Here is a 22,907-nt window from a genome sequence, read left to right on the forward strand (position 1 = left end):
TTTGGCAAAGATCAGATGGTTCTAGATGTGTGGTGTTATTTCTGAGGCCTATGTTCTGTTCCATTGGCCTATATATCCGTTTTGATACCAGTACCATGCTGTTTTGGTTACTGTAGCCTTGTAGTATAGTTTGAAGTCAGGTAGCATGATGCCTCCAGTTTTGTTCTTTTTACTTAGATTGTCTTGGCTATGTGGGCTCTTTTTTGGTTCCATATGAAGTTAAAGTAGTTTTTTCCAATTCTATGAAGAACGTCAATGGTAGCTTGATGGAGATAGCATTGAATTTATAAATTACTTTGGGCAGTCTGGCCATTTTCACAATCTTAATTCTTCCTATCCATGAGCATAGAATGTTTTTCCAGTTGTTTGTGTCCTCTCTTATTTCCTTGAGCAGTGGTTTGTAGTTATCCTTGAAGAGGTCCTTCACATCCCTTGTAAATTGTATTCCTAGATATTTTATTCTCTCTATAGCAATTGCGAATGGGAGTTCACTCATGATTTGGCTCTCTGTTTGTCTGTTATTGGTGTATAGGAATGCTTGTTATTTTTGCGTTGATTTTGTATCCTGAGACTTTGCTGAAGTTACTTATCAGCTTAAGGAGGTTAGGGGCTGAGACGATGGGGTTTTCTAAATGCACAATCATGTCTTCTGCAAAGAGATAATTTGACTTCCTCTCTTCCTGTTTGAATACCCTTTATTTCTTTCTCTTGCCTGATTGCTCTGGCCAGAACTTCCAATACTATGTTAAATAGGAGTGAGTGAGAGAGGACATCCTTGTCTTGTGCCAGTTTTTAAAGGGAGTGCTTCCAACTTTTGCCCATTCACTATGATATTGGCTGTGGGTTTGTCATAAATAGCTCTTATTATTTCGGGTTGTGTTCCACCGATACCTAGCTTATTCAGTTTTTAGCATGGAGGGCTGTTGAATTTTGTCAAAGACCTTTTCTGCATCTATTGAGATAATCATGTGGTTTTTGTCATTGGTTCTGTTTATGTGATGGGTTACGTTTATTGATTTGTGTATGTTGAACCAGCCTTGCATCCCAGGGATGAAACTGACTTCATTGTGGTGGATAAGCTTTTTAATGTGTTGCTGGATTCAGTTTGCCAGTATTTTATTGAGGATTTTCGCATCGAAGTTCATCAGGGATATTGGCCTGAAATTTTCTTTTTTTGTTGTTGTTGTCTCTGCCAGGTTTTGGTATCAGGATGATGTTGGCCTCATAAAATGAGTTAGGGAGGATTCTCTCTTTTTCTGTTGTTTGGAATAGTTTGAGAAGGCATGGTACCAGCTCCTCTTTGTACCTCTGGTAAAATTCAGCTGTGAATCCATCTGGTCCTGGACCTTTTCTCGTTGGTAGGCTATTAATTACTGCCTCAATTTCAGAACTTGTTATCAGTCTGTTCAGGGATTTGACTTCTTCCTGGTTTAGACTTGGGAGGGTGTATGTGTCCAGGAATTTATTCATTTCTTCTAGATTTTCTAGTTTATTTGCATAGAGGTGTTTATAGTATTCTCTGATGGTAATTTGTATTTCTGTGGGATCAGTGGTGATATCCCCTATATCTTTTTTTATTACACATCTATTTGATCTTCTTTCTTTTCTTCGTTATTAGTCTGGCTCGTGGTCTAGCTATTTTGTTGATCTTTTCAGAAAACCAGTTCCTGGATTTATTGATTTTTTTGAAGGGTTTTTCGTGTCTGTATGTCCTTCAGTTCTGCTCTGATCTTAGTTATCTCTTGTCTTCTGCTAGCTTTTGAATTTGTTTGTTGTTGCTTCTCTAGTTCTTTTCATTTTGATTTTAGGGTATCAACTTTCGATCTTTCCTGCTTTCTCTTGTGGGCCTTTAGTGCTATAAATTTTCCACTACACATTGCTTTAAATGTGTCCCAGAGATTCTGGTACGTTGTGTCTTCATTCTCATTGGTTTCAAAGAACATCTTTATTTCTGCCTTCATTTCATTATTTACCCAGTAGTCATTCAGGAGCAGGTTGTTCAGTTTCCCTGTAGTTGTGCTGATTTGATTGAGTTTCTTAATCCTGAGTTCTAGTATGATTGCACTGTGGTCTGAGAGACTGTTTGTTATGATTTCCTTTCTTTTGAATTTGCTGAGGAGAGTTTTACTTCAAATTTTGTGGTCAATTTTAAAATAAGTGTGATGAGGTGAAAAGAAGAATGCATATTCTGTTGATTTGGGGTGGAGAGTTCCGTGGATGTCTCTTAGGTCCACTTTTTCCAGAGCTGAGTTCAAGTCCTGAATATCCTTGTTAATTTTCTGTCTAATTGATCTGTCTAATATTGACAGTGGGGTGTTAAAGTCTCCCACAATTATTATGTGGGAATCTAAGTCTCTTTGTAAGTCTCTAAGAACTTGCTTTATGAATCTGGGTGCTCCTGTGTTGGGGGCATATATATTTAGCATAGTTAGCTCTTCTTGTTGCATTGATCCCTTTACCATTATGTAATGCCCTTCTTTGTCTCTTTTGATCTTTGTTGGTTTAAAGTCTGTTTTATCAGAGACTAGGATTGTAACTCCTGATTTTTTTCGCTTTCCATTTGCTTGGTAAATATTCTCCATCCATTTATTTTGAGCCGTGTGCATCTTTGCACATGAGATGGGTCTCCTGAATACAGCACACTGATGGGTCTTGACTCTATCCAATTTGCCAGTCTGTGTCTTTTAATTGGAGCATTTAGCCCATTTACATGTAAGGTTAATATTGTTATATGTGAATTTGATCCTGTCATTATGATGATAGCTGGTTATTTTGCCCGTTAGTTCATATAATTTCTTCATAGTGTTGATGGTCTTTACAATTTGGTATGTTTTTGCAGTGGCTGGTACCGGTTGTTCCTTTTCATGTTTAGTGCTTCCTTCAGGAGCTCTTGTAAGGCAGGCCTGGTGGTGACAAAATCTCTCAGCATTTGCTTGTCTGTAATGGATTTTATTTCTCCTTCACTATGAAGCTTAGTTTGGCGGGATGTGAAATTCCGGGTTGAAAATTCTTTTCTTTAAGAATGTTGAATATTGGGCCCCACTCTCTTCTGACTTGTAGGGTTTCTGCAGAGATATTTACTGTTAGTCTGAGGGGCTTCCCTTGTGAGTAATCTGACCTTTCTCTCTGGCTGCCCTTAACATTTTTTCCTTCATTTCAACCTTGGTGAGTCTGACGATTATGTCTTGGGGTTGCTGTTCTCAAGCAGTATCTTTGTGGTGTTCTCTGTATTTCCTGAAATTGAATGTTAGCCTGTCTTGCTAGATTGGGGAAGTTCTCCTGGATAATATCCTCAAGAGTGTTTTCCAACTTGGTTCCATTCTCCTCGTCACTTTCAGGTACACCAATCAGACATAGATTTGGTCTTTTCACATAGTCCCATATTTCTTGGAGGCTTTGTTAGTTCCTTTTTATTCTTTTTTTCTCTAATCTTGTCTTCTCACTTTATTTCATTAAGTTGATCTTCAGTCTCTGACATCCTTTTTTCTGCTTGATTGATTCGGCTATTGATACTTGTGTATGCTTCACAAAGTTCTCGTGCTGTGCTTTTCAGCTCTATGAGGTCATTTATGTTCTTCTCTAAACTGATTATTCTAGTTAGCAATTTGTCTAACCTTTTCTCAAGGTTCTTAGCTTCCTTGCATTGGGTTAGAACATGCTCCTTTAGCTTGGAGGAGTTTGTTATTACCGACCTTGTGAAGCCTACTTCTGTCACTTCGTCAACTCATTCTCCAATCAATTTTGTTCCCTTGCTGGCGAGGAATTATGATCCTTTGGAGGAGAAGAGACATTCTGGTTTTGGAATTTTCAGGCTTTTTGCGCTGGTTTCTCCCCATCTTTATGGATTTATCTACCTTTGGTCTTTGATGTTGGTGACCTTCAGATGGGGTCTTTGAGTGGATGTGCTATTCCTTTCTGTTTGTTAGTTTTCCTTCTAACAGTCTGGCCCCTCTGCTGCAGGTCTGCTGTAGTTTTCTGGAGGTCCGCTCCAGACCTTGTTTGCCTGGGTATCACCAGCGGAGACAGCAGACCAGCAAAGATTGCTGCCTGTTCCTTCCTCTGGAAGCTTCATACCAGAGGGGCAACCACGAGATGCCGCTCAGAGCTCTCCTGTATGAGGTGTCTGTCGGCCCCTACTGGGAGGTGTCTCCTAGTCAGGATACACGGGGGTCAGGGACCCACTTGAGGAGGCACTCTGTCCCTTATCAGAGCTTCAACACTGTGCTGGTAGATCTGCTGTTCTCTTCAGAGCTGCCAGGTAGGGACATTTAAGTCTGCTGAAGCTGCGCCCACAGCTGCCCTTTCCCCCAGGTGCTTCGTCCCAGGGAGGTGGGGATTTTATCTACAAGTCTCTGACTGGGGCTGCTGCCTTTTTTTCAGAGATGCCCTGCTCAGGAAGGAGAAATCTGGCAGTCTGACCACAGTGGCCTTGCTGAGCTGCAGTGGACTCCACCCAGTTCGAACTTCTTGGTGGCTTTGTTTATACTATGAGGGGAAAACCGCCTACTCAAGCCTCAGCAATGGCAGGCACCCCACCGCCCCCCCCCGCCCCCCACCAAGCTGGGGCATCTCAGGTCAATCTCAGACTACTGCTGTGCTGGCTGCAAGAATTTCAAGCCAATGGATCTAAGTTTGCTGGGCTCCATGAGGGTGGGACCCACTGAGGCAGACCACTTGGTTCCCTGGTTTCAGCACCCCTTTCCAGAGGAGTGAATGATTCTGTCTCACTTGCGTTCCAGGAGCCACTGGGGTATGGAAAAAAAAAAAAAAAAAAAACTCCTGGAGCTAGTTCGGTGTCTGCCCAAACAGCCATCTTGTTTTGTGCTTGAAACCCGGGGCCCTGGTGGGGTTAGGCGCCAGAGGGGATCCCCTGGTCTGTGGGTTGTGAAGACCATGGGAAAAGCGCAGTATCTGAGCTGGAGTGCAGGGTTCCTCAGGCTCAGTCCCTCACGGCTTCCCTTGGGTAGGGAAAGAAATTCCCCGACCCCTTGCACTTCCCGGGTGAGATGACACCCCACCCTGCTTCGGCTCGCCCTCCATGGGCTGCACCCACTGTCCAACCAGTCCCAATTTGATGAACCATATACCTCAGTTGGAAATGCAGAAATCACCCACCTTCTGTGTTGATCTCGCTGGGAGCTGCAGACCGGAGCTGTTCCTATTCAGCCATCTTGCCAGCAATCCCAGCTTTGCACATTTTAAGTTCAATACTCCTTTAAAATTAAGTGGAGATGTTCACTGGGAGGTTGAATATGCTACTGTGGACTAGAAATAATAATTTCCATAGTCTGAAAGTCATCAACATTTCTGGAGCTGAAGCCATAGGTTTGGAAGAGGCTCCTCAGAGTTTTTGTAGAGTGAGAAGAAGGAATATCAAGGATGAAGGTAAAACCGTTGGCAACAGCAATATTTCAGGGCGAGTTAATATTCCAGTATAGATACATGCATCTACTCCTTTTCTGAGTCTCCCTCCATTTATGGTTCTGTTCTAGTCAAGCCCCAGGACAAACCGTTGCTCTGTCACAGCTGTGCGCATCCCTGGTCTTTGGTCCCCACCATTACAACTGTTTTTCCCCACTTGTCATGTGCCGTTTATCTCTTTTTCTACCCATCGTGTGATTCCTATCTTTATTTTTCATTCATTATTTATTTTCATTCCATTCCTCTCTACCCCTCTTTTCTTTACCCTTCTTTACCTATTTCTCTCTTTATTTCCTTTTTCCTCCATATTTCCCATATTTCCTTTTTTCTTTCTCTTTTTCTTATGCCTCACCTCTTTTTTTTTTTTTTTTTTTTTTTTGAGATAGGGTCTCGTTCTGTTACCAGGCTGAAGTGCAATGGCACGATCTGAGCTCACTGCAACCTCCGCCTCCTGGGTTCAAGCAGTTCTTCTGCCTCAGCCTCCCAAGTAGCTGGGAATATAGGCTCACACCACCAAGCCCAGCTAATTTTTGTATTTTTAGTAGAGACAGGGTTTCACCATGTTAGCCAGGATGGTCTTGATCTCCTGACCTCGTGATCCCCCTGCCTCAGCCTCCCAAAGTGCTAGGATTACAGGCATGAGCCACTGCGCCTGGCCTTTCCTGGATGTTCTTCGTCCATTCCCCACCTCAATGTGTATGTAGATAGCTTATTTTTGGCACCAGTAGTTTGTACTTTTTAAAAACATATGACCCAGTGTAAGTCCTAAGGAACAATAGGCCCTTCCATGCCTGGACATCCAAACTAAACATTTTGAAGAGGTTTATTTTTAATTCCGGGAATATGGTGGATATATTTTGTCATCTGGCAAGTTCTCTGTGAGGAATAGCCTGCAACTACTAATCCAGTTGCCCTTGTGACCCTAGCTAAATGTCAACTAATCCTCCAAGGGTCTATTTCTGCAATATTAATTCATGATTCTACCTGGGTCTCTCTGGTAGTCGTTGAGGTTATGTTATAAATTATGCATTGAAGAGATGCCTTTGGTAACACGTGGCCTTAATGCAACTTTAGACTAAATGCCAACAAGTCATGTCAGATTTACATGATTATTTACTAGATAATAATCTTAAAAGGGTTGTCTTCACAGCATGTGCCACTTTGGGATTTGCTTTTTCTGAAAAATAGAGTATATTCTCTGTCAGATGAATTAGCCAGTATACCATGCTCAGAAATACAAAACTTGCTATTATCTTTAGACTTGAGCAGTCTTGTACAAACTATCATATTCCATAGAAATTCTTAAAACGTCTAATTGTCCAGGACTTTTTACCAAATTTCAAGTCTAAATTTGAAAGGTAGTGTTTTTAAGCAGAAAAGTTAAAGCATAACATTAATCATAGAAAAATTGTTGGGGTGTTATTGATAGGTAATCACCACATTGTTTGGTTAGAAGAACACTGAACTTAGATGTGGAATTCCTAGATCTGTATTTTAACTGACTTTGTGATTCTGAACTTCTCTGGCCCTAGTTTCCTCTTTTGTAAGTTGAGAAAACTCAACTAGATGATCTCTGAAGACCTTCTCAATTCCAAAATGTCAGGTTTCCTGGTAGGTAGTAGCCACTGGTGACACTACTACGCATTTGCTATTCTAGAAGTACCGCATGTGTTTTGTTACTGTGTTTCCCTACTTAAACCTCTGCAGCAGCTCTTCCCCAGGCTCTCTCAGTTCAGTTCAAGCCCAGAGGTGATGGCTGATGAGTGGTTTATCTTCCAGCTACATGTTTTCGACCTTCACACAGGAGGCCCTCAATTAAAAGGGAAGCCGTAGGGAAATGGAAAAAGGAATGAGAGAGAGGGAAGGAAAGGAACTGCCTCGGGTGTGGATTTCAATATATTATTAGTTGTTACTGTCAGTTAGAAGCAAATGCTGTGAAACTTTGCACTCATTCCTGTGTGGACTGGTTAGCCTATGTTTCCTCTACCGCAGCATTCTGAGTCGTCCACCTCAAATATGTGCTGTTGGTCATAAAGACAGACTGGGCCCAAGAGACAGTGTGGGTGAAACAAATTCATTCATTCCTTCTAGAAATAAAATGGGAAGTCTGTCCTACAGAGGATGAGCCAGCCGCCATCGTCTGTACTTGTCACATGCCAGGCCAGCTCGCCTGCTAGCTTGGGAGCAGGAGGACAGCAAATTCAAACACTGGAAAATTGCTTGACATTTTATTGGGAGGCATTGTCAATTATTAGCTAAGATTGTTTTGTCTTCTGAAGAATTGGCCCTCTATAAAAAAATAGTTGTGGAAGGTGGGCTTTTAACAGAAAATGTAAAGTCTGTTCAGTTCATACTAATTAGTACATGGAATTATTTAACATATAGGCAATAATGGCTAAAAACTGACATGACCATCAGCTTTATTTTAGGATGTTTTACAAACCTATCACAAAGCAACAACTAATTTTTTGTTCATGTATATTAATTCATTTGGCCTTTACCTGGACTAATATCATCTGAAACCTTCTTTTCTTTGAAACATTTTATGAAATGTATACACTTATTTTTACTTTATTATGTAAGCAAAGCAATTTTTTATTTTCCGTCCCACAAATTATGTGTTCCTTTAAAGATTTGACATTTTGATGCAGCAAATGTTAAGAAAAGGTGTGAGATAAATGTCTACAAAATAAATGTTTTATACAGAACCACGGGGCAATGTACTCTCAAAATTAATATAAAATAACTTGAATAGGACATATTTTTTTTACCAGGTTTCATCCATGTATAATTAGATATATTTGTATAAATGAAAATACCTGTATTTTTAACATTTTTCATAAGGAATAATGTATCTCAATAACATGTTTGACAGAACTTAGTATGTAAGCACTATCAATTTTACCATGATTAATTATATTTACGATTGTTTCTAAAATAGCTATAGATCTTTCAGGAATTTGAGAACATTTGTATTAATTATAGTAATATTCCTGTCTCAGCCACTGTGGTACATAGAAATCACAGAAGTTGCAGCTATTGAAAATAATTAAAGAGTTAGGCATTCTGGGGCAAAATAGCAAGTGGTAGCTATTATATTACATAAATACCTGTTATAGGTAAATATAACTATTTTAATTCTGAAACACTATACCTCCATCTCCTTTCCATAACACATTTAAACAGATGTACATTTTGCAAATGCAGCATATTATCAAATATTTGGCACCCATTCTATTATATTTAAACAATGCTAGCACTACCAAGAAAAATCACAATAAAAATGGGAAGTTTTTCTGAAGACAACATGAAACAAAAAAGATAAGAGGGAAAATTTGATGAAAGCCCCATTTTCAAAGAGATGCCTGCAGCATGCAGCCGGAGGCAAGTTGACATTAACTATAGTTCCCCCGGCCTATCCATTTACATGTGAGGTAGTTTCTTTCCACTGTAAGTAAGTGTGACTTCTGTGTGGAAAATAGCTTAGGTCTGGATGCATTATTCAAAGTTTTATTTCAAAATCACCTTTCCTGAGACTACACTGAGAAAGTCACACATAGATGTTTCTTTGTGACAATTATTTAAAATATGTGGCTTTAATATGCAGTCCTATAAGTATGAACCAGATGCTGAGATCTTGCCTAGCACATACTTTGGCATGCTTGGAACAGGCCATATGTGCACACAAACATGTATGGATGTTTTATCTCAGTCTATCAATTAGCTGCCGTCCTTCAGGTTTCCAGATAATTGAATAGGGTTGAGGTACAAGGGTAAGTTGAACAAATTGACTTTTGTAAAGGCCTCTTCTGAGCTGGACTTTATATGATTACTGTAACAGTTCCTAAAGTAACCCCTATTTCTTGACTCAACCTAATGGGAACTCTTTTTAAAGAAGATTTTATTTTAAAAAAAGAGTGTGGGGAACATAGCTACCAATTTTTCATCTTATAGGAGGAAAGTGTCAGAGAATGATAAGAGTCATGGCTTTAGAATCTGACGAACCTGATTTTACACCACAACTCTTTACTTTGTGGCACTGTAAATTTAAATGAGTTACTTAACACCTCTGAACTATTTTGCACATGTGAGATGTGACGATGATGATAATGTGTACTGCATAGGGGATGCGGTAAAAATTAGATGGTATATGTACATAGTTGGTCTTTGATAGATAATAGCTTAAGAACCCAGCAGTTGGAGAACTTGTCCCAGGGCACGTAGGTAGTCCGTGGGAGGGCCTAGTCTAAGTCAGTGCATCTGACTTTTAACTGCCCTGCTACCCTGGCTCAGGCAAGTAAAACTCAAACATGCACCTTGCTCTGTAAAGCTCAGGTACTCTTTATAATTAGCTGACAACACCGTGCAGTCATCAGCTTGTTGCAGTTTACCATTGCTTTAAGTCTATAAATATTTGAAATTCTGCCAGCATGTCTTATTCTTTTCTTTGAGCCATCATTGCAGAATAGCTAAATAAATGCTTTTTTCGTATCCTCCTTTGCAGAAGCATTTTTAGAATTCTTTTGAATAGCTGTATTTTGTGTCATTTGTTGATTCCTGAGTTTACTTCTGATAACTCTCAATGGTGAGGATGCTGTATCCTCTTGTCTGGTTTACTGAACAAGAGAATCTTGTTAAGTTTTAGAGGAAGCCATAAAGCAGGGGAGCATTAGCTGCACCTTTCCTCCTCAGAGACAAATGCTGGGGTCTTCCGTGGTGAAAGTGGAGACCCTGGGGACAGCTGCCTTATGCCCACACCTTGGTTCCGTGGCTTACTGGCTGTGTGATCTTAGACAAGCCACCTAGCTCGGTGTCCCTCAGTTTCCCCAGCTATTCCAAGGGCATAATAATAGTTCTTACATCATAAAATGTTATGACAAGAAAACAAGTTGATACCTTTAAAGTGCTGGCCCCAGTAAATATTAACTCTATTGATAATATGCATTATACACCAGTATACAAGCTGTAGCTGCCTCTCTGGTTTCAATGCTCATGGCTTGCGTGCCTCGAAGTCTTTGTGTCCGGACATGGGAGAAGACCAAGGAACGGAGCTGTCTCCCCTTGAGAGGGGGTCCTCTCTCCTTTTCCCATGGAGAGCATCATTTCTTTGTACCCAAAGAAACACACGGGATGGGTCTTTAATTATGAAGCTAGCTAGGAACACAGCTAGCTGGAATGAGACAGCTCATTTTCTCCTTACCTTAAGGCCATGCCTTGGTGAAGGTGCCAGAGCTGATAGCACAAAGTAAAATCATTCTTCAGCCATGCTCAGCCACTAGTATTCCTTATGCCCAGGCTCCTACTCAGTCAAGTGGAGAGCCGGATTATAGGAAAAATTGTTCTCTGCAGATAAGTAAACCAAAGGTCCTGGGGCATCAATACTACCATGCTTGGGGAACGTCCTCTAAACCCCAAATGCTTCTGAGTGGGCATGGCATTGGCATTAAATGCAAATACTTTGGGTATTAAAACCTTCCAGACCCAGACGCAGCAAGGTGCCAAGTGGTCTGCCACCTGGGGTGGGAACAGAAGGACAGCATCACTGTCTTCGGTGTGCATAAAGGCCTTGTCATGTATCTGTGTGGACTCCCTGAGCCTCTCCTCAGTGCTGCTTGTTCACCTTCCACAGTTGCAGGAGGTCGAAGGCCCTGTGGCCAGGCACCAGCCCTGAACTTGCACCACATTCAGCAGGGCTGAATTCTCACCAGCCATCTCAGGGCACAATTTTCCTACTGATTCCTCATTTGAATGCCTGGTAACTCCACTCATTTTTAACCTCTATCTATTAGCATAGCTTATTAAAACTGGTTCTATCTGTGTCTCTTAATTCCTAAACTCAAGCCCTAGACTTCTTAAAAGGGTATTGAGAGAGGGCTGCATAATTACTACTAAAATTGATCATTCTTCACAGTTGATGTCTCAAGATGGAGTGTGTTGACATTCCCAGTCCCACCCAAGTGCTTCATGATCTTTACTGGGTGTGTGTTTTGATTCATGTTGATGTGACTTCACTTTCTAGTTCATAAGAGCGTTAAAAACTGAGCATATTTTTCTTGGGATGATCGTTTAAACTTGTATCTTGGTTATCGAATCCAGGAATTCAAACCTAATAATACCACTTTTCCAACTCTTTCCAGTTTTGTTTTATATTAATAAGTAAAACAATGAAGAGTATGAGGAAAGAAATATATGCATTAAGAAAAAAATAGTCCAATTTCTAACCTGACTTATTTGGGCAATGTATTAGTCCATTTTTGTGTTACTATAAACGAATACCTGAGAGTGGGTAATTTATAAAGAAAAGAGGTTTAACTGGCTTATGGTTCTGCAGGCTTTACAAGCATGGTGCCAGCATCTGTTCAGCTTCTGGTGAGGCCTCAGGAAGCTTCCAATCATGGAGGAAGGCAAAGCACAAGCAGGCGTGTCCCATGGCAAGAGCAGGAGCACGAGAGCGAGCGGGAGGGTGTCTCAGACTTTGAAACAACCAAATTTCATGTGAACTGAGTAGGAACTCACTCACCACCAAAGGGATGGTGTTAAACCATTCAAAAGGGATCCATCCCTACCATTCAGACACCTCCCACCCAGCCCACCTCCACTGTTGGAAATCACATTGCAACATGAGATGTGGGGGACAAAGATCCTGCAAACCATGTCAAGCAAGATTCATGACACCTCTTCTTCTAACATAAATCTAAATTTCTTTTTAACAGGGAAATGGTTTACCTCTGGAATCTTTAATTTAGATTCATTTATAGAAAATTACATAAAATTAATTTTTAAGAAGGATACAGAGGCGCCACTGTGTTGATTGAGAAAGGAATATTTTGGATGGATCTCAGCATTATAAGATGTAGTATTATATTAAGTACTATATTTTCTTGAATAGTAATATAAATTTTGCCTGGTATCCTTACAGAGTGTGCTTTTTAAAGTAAATAAAGCTTCACTGGATCCCCTGGAAGATGTTCTTATCATTGTTATATTCATATGTGCCGTTTGCTTATGGCACTGCTGTGGTGGAACTAAAGTGAAACTGTTTTTATGAGTTTTACTGCAAGTAAAAATGGATTCATTTATTAAATCCCAACATACTATTTCTTTGTAAAAACAAAACAAAATTTGACAAAACTGTAGTCCATGTTATCGTGTCTAAAGATGGCCCAGTGTTCATTCCGGTGTTTATTATGTTTCTGTGATGACTTAGGCAGCACCTGCCTGAGTACCAGAATTCCAATTTGGACACCTGGGATTTAGTGCTTTGCTTACTGTGTCCCTCCCGACAGTGCCGACAGTACGCTCTCCTGCATTCACAGTCCTGAATGATCTGGGTACCATATGTCTTTTCTATTAGATCCTTTTTAATCATCTTCAACATCCTATTCTTACATCTAGTCTAGTGTTTTCCATAGAAGACATGGAGTATACCGTCAGTAAAGAAAAATACTCTTCTTTCATGCAAGCCCTTTAGTGCAGCACTGGACTTTGAACAGCTTTGCTTTTTAAAAAAAAAATTTCAGGGATGTAAGTTTCATAATATTATAAGATGTTTTAATTTTTCTGTAGTGTAGATATTATAATGGACAGACTCCCTACGTGTAGTAGTATGAATTTGTTAAAGTTTGAATAATAATTATTTGAATTAAAAATTTAATATATTAAAATAGTTGAAATGAATAGGAGTACCTTTAAATTCAGATACAGCTTAATTCAAAAGAAAAATGGGCTCATCACTATCATTTATTTAAACGATCATTTATTTTTAAGCCACCTTTGAAATATTTTTTATAAATCGTGTATTCCATTGCATTTTTATAACCAACATCAATTGAGATTAACAAGTCCTTTGTTCAAAAAAACGAATAAACCTCCTTAAGATGAAATTTTTTTAAGGGAAGTCAGGGAGAACTTTATTCTTTTTATGTATTTTCTATTTATTTATTTATTGGAGATAGGGACTTGCTCTGTTAACCAGGCTGGAGCACAGTGACACAAGCTCGCTGCAGCCTCAAACTCCTGGGCTCAAGTGATCCCCCGTCTCAACCTCCCAAGTAGCTAGGACTGCAGACATGCGCCACCACGCCCAGAAAATTTTGGGGTTTTGTTGTTGTTGTTGTTGTAGAGACAGGGTGTTGCCATGCTGCCCAGGCTGATCTTGAACTCAGGGCCTCAAGTGATCCTCCTGCGTAAGCCTCCCAAAGTTCTGGGATTACAGGCACTGAACCACTATGCCTAGCCAGGATGAATTCTTCTTATACTGTGGGCATCTTAAGTTAAAATATCTAGTTTTTCAAGTCTTCTATTCAGTGGTTTTATAACAGAAATATCTAGACTTCCGTCTTCAGTGGCTAGGCTGCAGCCTAGTAATTTATTCAGGACTTAGCATTTCCAGGCAGCTCTTCTCGCTGTTAGCTGTCTCACTGCATCATTGTATGGTATTATTCCTCCAAGGGTGTTTGATAAGCATCTGTGATAAACATTGATTCATTGTTCCCATTGCCAGAAAGAAAGCATTAATTAATAAGAACAAATTCAGGAAAAGGCCGCTTAGTGTAAGTGCCTAGTTATTGGGAGCTATCAAAATGTTCTTTGTTCTTTATCCTTTTACCTGATTTCTATAAAAGCCTGAGTTGTGGGTTTGGAGTCAGTGGTCAGAATTTGAAGAAATTGGCCACTCTCTAAAGATATGTTCAGCTATCAATGACTAATTCTTAGGTTTAACTTTTATTAAAAAGGAAAGGAAGAAAATCTCAGAAATATATTAAGATCTTCAAAATGAAGAGGTGACATAGCATTCACTGAAAATATTAACTTGGAAGCTGTCATGCAGGAGTGGTGTTGGCTCCTTGGGGGACACTTGGGGATGCCTGAGGGTGTCTTTGCTGAGAATTACCTTATTGTAATTGCATCTGTTGGTTGCAGTTTTGTAGTCACAATTGTCAAGATTTTTCTTTAATAATTTGTCAGGCTAAGGTTGACTCTGAGTTCAGATCCTAAAGGTCATAGAAGGGTTAAAATCATAACTGCCTAGGGGGGCCAGTAGAGTTGACCTGTGTATGGATGAGCTCCTGGTGCAGAGAGTGTGGTGAGAAGGCACCCACTGTCCAGCTTCAGGCAAGTATATTACAGTGTCACAAATCTTCCCATCTCCCCTGAGGGAAGGGAGAAATCTTGATTTCTTTACTAAGTGTTCTAACTTTTTGGTTGGCAATGAATCACTTTTTAAAGTATGTGTTGGCCAAATAAAATAGATATCCAGTCACCCGCATGTGATTCTTAATTGTATTTTTAAGATAAACCAAGCAGGAGACATTTAAAAATCTTCTGTCACTTACATGTCTCTGGCTACACATGTTGTCTTATACCAACCAGGAAAGGACAACGGATCATTTCCTGGTCGTGCTACCCCTTTACCCACGTGCTCATTCATACCCTGTGATGCATGCAAATGGCACCACTGGCCTGCATCCTACTTCGTGATAACTGGTTCTTGCTCAGAAATCCAAGAGAACTTAGGCATCAGTTATCTTGTAGGTGATATGGCCAGATGGTTTGGAATAAGTGTGCCTCCCATTTCTAATTAGAGCTCATCCCTGTGTTCTGCACTGGGATTGCTGTTGACTCCTGTTATTTCTTGCTAATCCAAGCTGGAATTCCTCTGGACTCTTGTTGAGCCTCAGATAGCAATATCTGTTAGAATACTTTTTCTCATAAGACTACAGTTAAATTTTGTGGGGTTTTTTTCTTTTTTTTTTTTTTCCTACGGAGTTTCACTCTTGTTGCCCAAGCTGGAGTGCAATGGCGCCATCTCGGCTCACTACAACCTCTGCCTCCTGGGTTCAAGCAATTCTCCTGCCTCAGCCTCCTGAGTATCTAGGATTACAGGCACATGCCACCACGCCCAGCTAATTTTTTACATTTTTAGTACAAACAGGGTTTCACCATGTTAGCCAGGCTGGCCTTGAACTCCTGACCTCAGGTGATCCGCCCACCTTGGCTTCCCAAAGTGCTGGGATTATGGGCATGAGCTACCGCGCCTGGCCTAAATTAAATTTTGTAAATTCTGTTTACATGAATGGTCTTTCTGGACTTTGAAAACAACTCCGCCAGTGTAGGAAAGAGGAATGGGTGGCCCTGGCTGTGCCCACTTCTGCAGATGGTTCCCAGGAGGGAAGCCAGCCCACCCCAGCATGGCTCCTCACCCTGAGCACTGAGTGCTGGGGACCACCCGCTACCTCCTCAACACAGGTGACCAAGGCCGGAGACCCAGAGATCATCTAAGAACAAGGCTGTTGCTAACACGTGGCTGATGATTTCTTTATGTACCCTTTTATGCCGGGTTTGAGGAGTAAGATTTATCTGAGAATAAGTACATAGCATATTTCCCTATGTATCCATTCCTCTCTCCACCCCATACACACATCTTTACGTGTGTTTCAGGAGGTGGGGAGGGAATAAAAATTTAAACAGTCTCCAGGGCCCTGAAGTTTCTAAACTGCTAAGTGTCCAATCCACAGCCTGGCGAGCTGATGTGGTCTTGGCATCAGGCTGCAGTTGTAAAAATGCTCTGCTGCTTCTCCAAACAAACACTGGAGCCCTCAGGGCACATCTAACAGAGCCAGCCGTCAGCCACACACCTGCCCTCAGCCAGCTCTAGCGCCTTCCTGCAACCAGTGTCCACACGCCCCACGACAGCTAGCTCCCAAGGACTGAGCCAATCCACTTTCACTCCTTGGCAGGCAATTGCTCAAGTGCCTGAGCTGAACAGGCTTAGCTTCAGGATCAGTTTAATTTTCTGCTGTCCTAATTGCTGTGCTGGTGCCTGGACTTAAACAACCTATTCATTTGAATCTCCAAACAACTTCCTATTCATTTGAATCTCCAAACAACTTCTAACTCATGTTCCAAAACTTCCTAACTTCTAAAGTTGTGATTTTTTTTTTAACCTGGAACTTTCAGGATGCTAGCCTGATTTTCTAAATTTTGCCTGACTCTAGATTAAGTCTAGCTTGTCGAATGTTCTTCAAGAAACACACTCACCATTCCTCAGCTTGCCAGTGGTGAGGTCCAGTCTCTTTCACCGTATAATTAGCGGGAAGTGTCCCCTGCCCTCCTTAGCCAATACCCAGGCTGTTAGCCATGTCTCTCAAGGGAAGTCTGCCAAGCACAGAGGACAATATTTTACCAAAGGAACACAGCATAAATAAATGTTCTTATCCTGTGTACCTTTTTCACTTTTATGATCAACACTGATATAAAGAACAACAATAGCATTAAAATTAACTGAAGTTATGAGTACCTAAGTAGAATGATAATTCATTATGTGAAGAGGGTGGTTGATTAATGAGCACCATTAACAAGTTCATAGTTTCAGTGGTCAAAATTACAGATCTGATTATGTGCAGTGTAACATGCTCCATTGATTTTCAAGTACTTTTTCCTAACACCAACAATTATTTAAATACCATGTGTTCTATGACTTACACAATTTTGAGTTCTCAAAAACATCTTTAATTACTATCCTGACCACTGTGTTAGCTTTAGCACTTTTTAGTTAAATCGAGGACACTAGCAATCATTTCTCTTTCAGATGTTATACTGCTAATTTTAGTGATAATACGTGAAGAACTTGCAACCATTAAACCAGAGCTGTGTGCAAGTAACAATCTAGTTAAGCCAGGGTAAATGAAATAGCCATTATGAAAGATCCATAAGTTAAGAGAGCAACTAAGAAGAATAGAAGAAAAGAAATCGAGTTTTAGATTCTAAAATGTTGTTTAGTATCATAAGTTGACCTCACTGGATGAGACTGTGTTAGCCAAGAAGTCTCTTGCTTAGTTAATTTTGTGATTTGGCAAATACAGTCTGTAAAACATTTTTCTTTAACAGCATGCAGTCCCTTTTTAAGTGTGCATTCAGTGAAAAAGGTTCTATGCTGGGACCCAAAAATGCAGCCCTACCGCCATTATTTACAAAAATATATTTCTAGGTATATGTCCAAAAGAAATGAAAACAGGGACTCAAACAAATATTTGTATACCTCTGTTCATGCAGTATTATTCATGATAGCTGAAAGTTAGAAGCAACCAAGTGTCCTTTGACAGAAGAGTGGATAAACAAAAATGTGGTCTATCCATACAACGGAGTACTATTCAGTCTTAAAAAGGAAGGAAATCCTGACACATGCTACAACATGGATCAGCCTTGAGGACATCATGCTACATGAAATAAGCCAGTCACAGGAAGACAAATACTGTATCATTCCACTTATATAAGTACCTAGAGTAGTCAAATTCATAGAGACAGAAAGTAGTATGGTAGCTGCCAGGGGCTTGGGGAAGAAGGCAATGAGGAATTGATGTTTAATGGCTAGAGAGTTTCAGTTTGAGATGAAAAATTAGCGAGACAGACAGTGGTGATAGTTGCACAACTATGTGCATGACTCAATGCCACTGAATTATACACTTAAAAATAGTTAAAATGGTAAATTTTAAGTTATATATTTTATTACAATAAATATCTTCTAAGGCCAGGCGCAGTGGCACATGCCTAATCCCAGCACTTTGGGAGGCCAAGGTGGGCGGATCACTAGGTCAAAAGACCGAAACCATCCTGGCCATCCTGGTTGAGTGGAAACCCCGTCTCCACTAAAAATACAAAAATTAGCTGAGTACGGTGGCACACACCTGTAATCCCAGCTACTCGGGAGGCTGAGGCAGGAGAATTGCTTGAACCCAGGAGGCAGAGGTTGCAGTAAGCGGAGATCACGCCACTGCACTCCTGCGTGGTGACAGAGCAAGACTCCATCTCAAAAAAAAAAAAAAAAGAAAGAAAGAAAGAAATGTTCTAATACTGGTAGAGTGATTTAGACAGGTTTTGAATTCTTGGCACCGCTCATCATTCTAATCAATGGTCAGCCTCTGAGCATTGGAGCACTCAGTGGTACTTGTACACTTGGCTTGTCATCAAGTGTTTCCCTTTTAGACTGTTAGGCCAAGGATGGCTAAGAAAGTTACTGTCCAGCCGATAGCAAGAGAATATTTATGTTGTTGGTACATGTCTACCAGAGACCACAGAAATGCACAAAGCTACATTTGAAGCATGTCACCGGCAGTATTCCAGCATTATTACTGACAGTGGTGACAGTGAGAAAACCAAACTGCCTTGAAAAAACACCTCCTGAATTGTTACCACAATACCCCAGAGTTAGGCAGCGTGTACCGCCAAAACACTGGTGATGCCCAGATTCTTGCAGTCTCAAGTGAAGAAAGCAATATGTTCTGCTGCATTATTTTTAGGCACCAGAGAGTGAAATATGGGTAGTGTCAGGCCAGTCGCTTCCATGGCTATCAATTTTTGATCTTCTTTACTAGTAACAGTGAGGGTGGCACAAATTATCCATGGACAGAATAGGAATGTGCCCAGCATTCTGGAAGCTTATAGTGCTTCAAATCAAATCCACACAGCTCCCCACGTGCAGAATTGTGCAGTTCCCCCCTTATGGGCTTGATTTTTTTTAAATGTAAGAAAAGATATTCAGCATTTGCTACCTAACACTTAGGGCTCGGGTCCCTCTCAGTTGAATGAAGCTCTAATTATGCATCTTGACTTATTCTGTAGTTTCTAAGTAGCCTTTCCATTCAGGGTATTCTTGTGGCTGTCTGTGAACTAGAAACTCACAGAGGGCAGGAGCCATGGCTTGATCATGTTTGTCTCTCCCATTCCTAAAGCAGACTAAGCACATGATAAATGTTTATTGATCCACTGCAGAAATGAGTGAATAAACGCAGATCCTATCTATGGGAGTGCCTTGGTGCCTTGCCTACTGTGTGGTTTCTCCTCCCAGCTCTGAGAAGTGGCTTGGCGGACTCCAACCTATGCGCTTTACGTCATTACTGAGGCAAGGAACAAGTCATACTCTTGCTTCCCACTTCTCCCTGCAACCCGCTTTCCCTGGGCTGCAGCCTCTTTTCTGTAATTGAAGTCACCTTGAAGAAGACCATGCCCAGAGCATAGAATTTTGCCTCTCTCCCCATGTGAGGACCATATATGTTTATATTTATTATGTGTGACATCTGTAAGGAACCTATTACAGAGCCCTTCCTTCCTTCAAACAAGTTTATTAACCAGCAGAGATAATAATGACCAAATGAAAAATAAAAGCCAGATTTACCTTGCATAATCTAAATTAATAATAACACATCCATGAACAAATGTCTTGCCACTTGTATTATTTATTACTTATTTGGTGATGATGATGACAGCTAATATATATTAAGTGTTAAGCATCTGCCTCTTACTAAGCCCTGCTGTAAGCTTTTTACGAGTATTATCACTGTTTCGCTTTGTAATGACTCTGTAGCACATATTCTGTTGTCCTGTTTTACACTCAAGGAAACCAAGACTGAGCAAACTAAGTTGCTTAAAGTTGCATGGTCAGTAAGCAACTGAACCAAGGGGTAAAGCCAGGCTGCTGGTCTCCAGAGCTTCCACTCTGAGCCATTATGATACTTTGGTTGAAATAAAATAGACCTAGGCAAAGATAGACACAAGATCTACCTGTTGAGCTGGAAAGAAAGCAGCTGAAAATTCTGTGACTTGAATTATTATGATACTCATATCTCTCCCTTCACCCAGTTAATAAAAGAAGCACCCTGCAAAGCCAAGTGTGCAGGCTCTAAGCTACTCTTGGACACAGGCTCTGCTCACTTAAGGTCAGGAAGCAGAGAGGAGACCTGGGTGCCTCTGGCTCCTTTGGAAGCTCCTTTAGCATATGAAGCATCTAAGTAGGCTTGAAATATGCCACAAATGAATGGTCATCTTCACGCACCAATAGTTTTCAAGCCTCCATGGTATGTGTGCATGTTGTAAAATCCACATTGGTGCAGCAGCCTGTCTTACCCACATGCGGTGACTCTTTCCCTCCTCCTATCTGGTACCACATGGCATTAGGCCAGAGACTCCCACAAACAAAGCCTGTTGTTGCTTTGTGTACACTTCATTGTCACAGGGGACCAGGCTCCACACTTCTCAGCATCACTCTTAGTGGTTTGGCTCACCTTGGTGACTCAGGAGTCACAGTTAACATCATTTCCAACCCACAGCAAAGACTGGGACTTGAAATTTCTTCTGTGTTCTTATTACTTCTTCCATTGTCACTTGTTAGATTCTGAGAGAAGCAAATAAGGCTGCCCGTCTGTGGATGGAGCAGGCTCCAGCGCCCTTTTCATTGTAGTTGTACCTCTGAGGACTAATGAGGAGTCACTTGCTTGTGTTCTTGGAAGCATCTGTGGTCCAAAGGCAGGAATTCTCAACTCTGGACTGAAAAGATGCCATGCAGCAGGAGGAATTGCACTTTAGCAAGTGAAATATTGTGGGCTTGTGAACCCTTCCTTCAGAAACAGACACGGTTAGTATGTGGCTCTGATATGGGAGCAGTTGGTGAAGATGAATGTGATACAGCAGTTCCTGTTCTTTGCCCCTGATGATGCAGTGTGGCACCTGATGCTGAGATAAGTATTATCTTCCAGCGATGTCGCGAAGTGGCATGTTAAGCCTTTATGGTGATTTGTTGCACCTTGCCATTTTGGCTGGCATTAGAGCTCTAAACTCATTTTCTTCCCAGCTTTCTGCCCTTGCTTGTGTATTCCCAGTGGTATTTCTCATTAGCATTATCTTCTGTTAAGCAGGAAATGGTCTCTGCTTCTCAACCCTGGACAATGCTGAGTATGTTTCTAGCGCTCAGTTAAAAATATTTACTGGCATTAGTATGCCTTTTTTCATGTATTTCAATATTATTTTACTTTACGACAGTATTAGTATTAGTCTGAAAAGTAGTTCCTGAAAGTTGTTAAGTATTTTTACATAAATTTGACAAGGACGTATTTTCATTTTTAATCACAGCTAATCTTAGTTTTATACCAAACCATTTGGTTTTCACATTAAACCTTGCAGCTCCAGACCACTTTATAGCCAAACCAAGTAATAGGAAACTGGCAGGGCCTTATAACATCGTTTGTAATTGTTACAAAATATGCTTTGAAATATCATCATAAATATGTAAAATTAAAGTTAGCAAAAATAAGTGTATAGACTACATTTGGAGCCTGTGATACCCCTGATTTTAATTTTTTTCTCTCTCTCACTAGCAAATTTGCTAAATTTGTTAATTTGTAGACTGTTTCTTCTTAATTTGTGAGAAAAATAAGTTAGTTCCATATTCACTTTTCTTAAAATAACTGTTTTCTAAAGTTCTGTTTATAAGTGGAATCAACACTAAATTATTTGTGTTACTAGAGGAGAAAAGAGATCCAACTAAAACAATAGATAATCACAAATTGTTTAGATACTAAAAAAGTGCTGAATTTTGTGGAACAAAGCTGATTTATGGACCATCTACTCCTTTCTTACTATAAATTGTATGGAGCAGGATTTAACCATCTCAAACCTACATAGTGACAAGTATCTTTGCAATGGAATGCCCCTCACTGGGCCTTATCATGGTGTGTTCACACCTTTACTTATAGCACAGACTCCATGCCATGGTAGATAGTTTATGAAGACGAGTTTTTGCTCACCCATAATCCAGATTCACTATAATATTATGCATGTAAGTTCTGCCTAGACTCAATGGAAGAAGTTAAATTAAATATATTGCCTTCCTGTTTGACTTTGGAATTAAATTTCTCTATAAATATCTTATCACGCTCCTAGGAGATAGTTTCCTTAGATAAAGAAATCTTGTGAGTGAAAGGAAGGAAAATGAAGGTGGAAAAGGATAAATGTCATCGATATAGCACAATGAGAAACACCACACCTAGCAAGAAGAGACCCGAGTCCTATTTTCTCCAACCATTGTATATTCATTTTCTTTCTCTTCCGCTCGAAAAGTGAATTTAAAAGGTCCTATAGCAGTATATCACAGACACATGTTAACAAATGGCTGCCCAAAAAGTTACATCTTCAAAAATACCATGTTGATTTGGGCAAAAAAAAAAAAAATGCTTATCAAATTAGTAAGACAAAACCTTTTGCTTTTTGTGGCAGCAGTTGTGGGGGTGAAGGAAAATAAAAATAATAAGTCTAAAAGTAATAGGTCTACTTCCCCTGTTGCCGAGTACACTCTCTGAACACTTCATAAAGTGTACCTCCATGTAGCCTTTTCAGATAGCAGTGATTTAGACATAGAAACAACATTATCAGTAACAAGGAAGAAAAAAACCTTAATTGTCTAATTGATGGCTATTATGAGATTCCGTATAATTCATGGAATTGGTAAGAATTTCACCCAAGGCAAGAATTTAGCATGGTGTATGCGTGTACTTTTATTTAGTCTTCAGGAATCACATGGATTGATTGCTGATGAGACTATTTTTTAACTACCAAGCATATATATTCATATATGCTCAATGGATACAAATTTTCCAAGATGTTATTTTTTTCTTAATGTTGGGTCCATTTTTTCTTCTGTAAGTACTCATTTCTGA

At 40.3% G+C, this 22,907-nt stretch overlaps 1 protein-coding gene across 36 annotated transcripts in view, besides 1 other annotated feature; it reads left to right on the forward strand.

Moving 5' to 3' along the window:
- PTPRM (protein tyrosine phosphatase receptor type M) overlaps positions 1-22,907 on the forward strand; it is an 839,541-nt gene that overhangs the window by 579,621 nt on the left and 237,013 nt on the right. For 4 of the 36 annotated variants that reach the window (XM_017025911.2, XM_047437723.1, XM_017025910.2 and 1 more), the window contains one exon: positions 11,753-12,385. The exons of the other annotated variants lie outside the window; for them this stretch is intronic. In XM_017025911.2, the coding sequence (XP_016881400.1) occupies positions 11,753-11,900 (148 nt within the window). In that variant the 3' untranslated portion in view covers positions 11,901-12,385. Of the gene's footprint in view, positions 1-11,752; positions 12,386-22,907 lie in introns of those variants that run through there. 36 annotated transcript variants of the gene reach the window in all.
- Positions 15,875-16,169: a silencer, noted in NCBI's record as "tiled region #9307; HepG2 Repressive non-DNase unmatched - State 23:Low, and K562 Repressive non-DNase unmatched - State 21:Repr". NCBI's record gives its function as "represses a minimal TATA promoter and a strong SV40 promoter by Sharpr-MPRA in HepG2 and K562 cells {active_cell/tissue: HepG2 | K562}" and the evidence as "EXISTENCE:reporter gene assay evidence [ECO:0000049][PMID:27701403]".

Source organism: Homo sapiens, chromosome 18 (genome assembly GCF_000001405.40).
Source record: "Homo sapiens chromosome 18, GRCh38.p14 Primary Assembly".
NCBI lineage: Eukaryota > Metazoa > Chordata > Mammalia > Primates > Hominidae > Homo > Homo sapiens.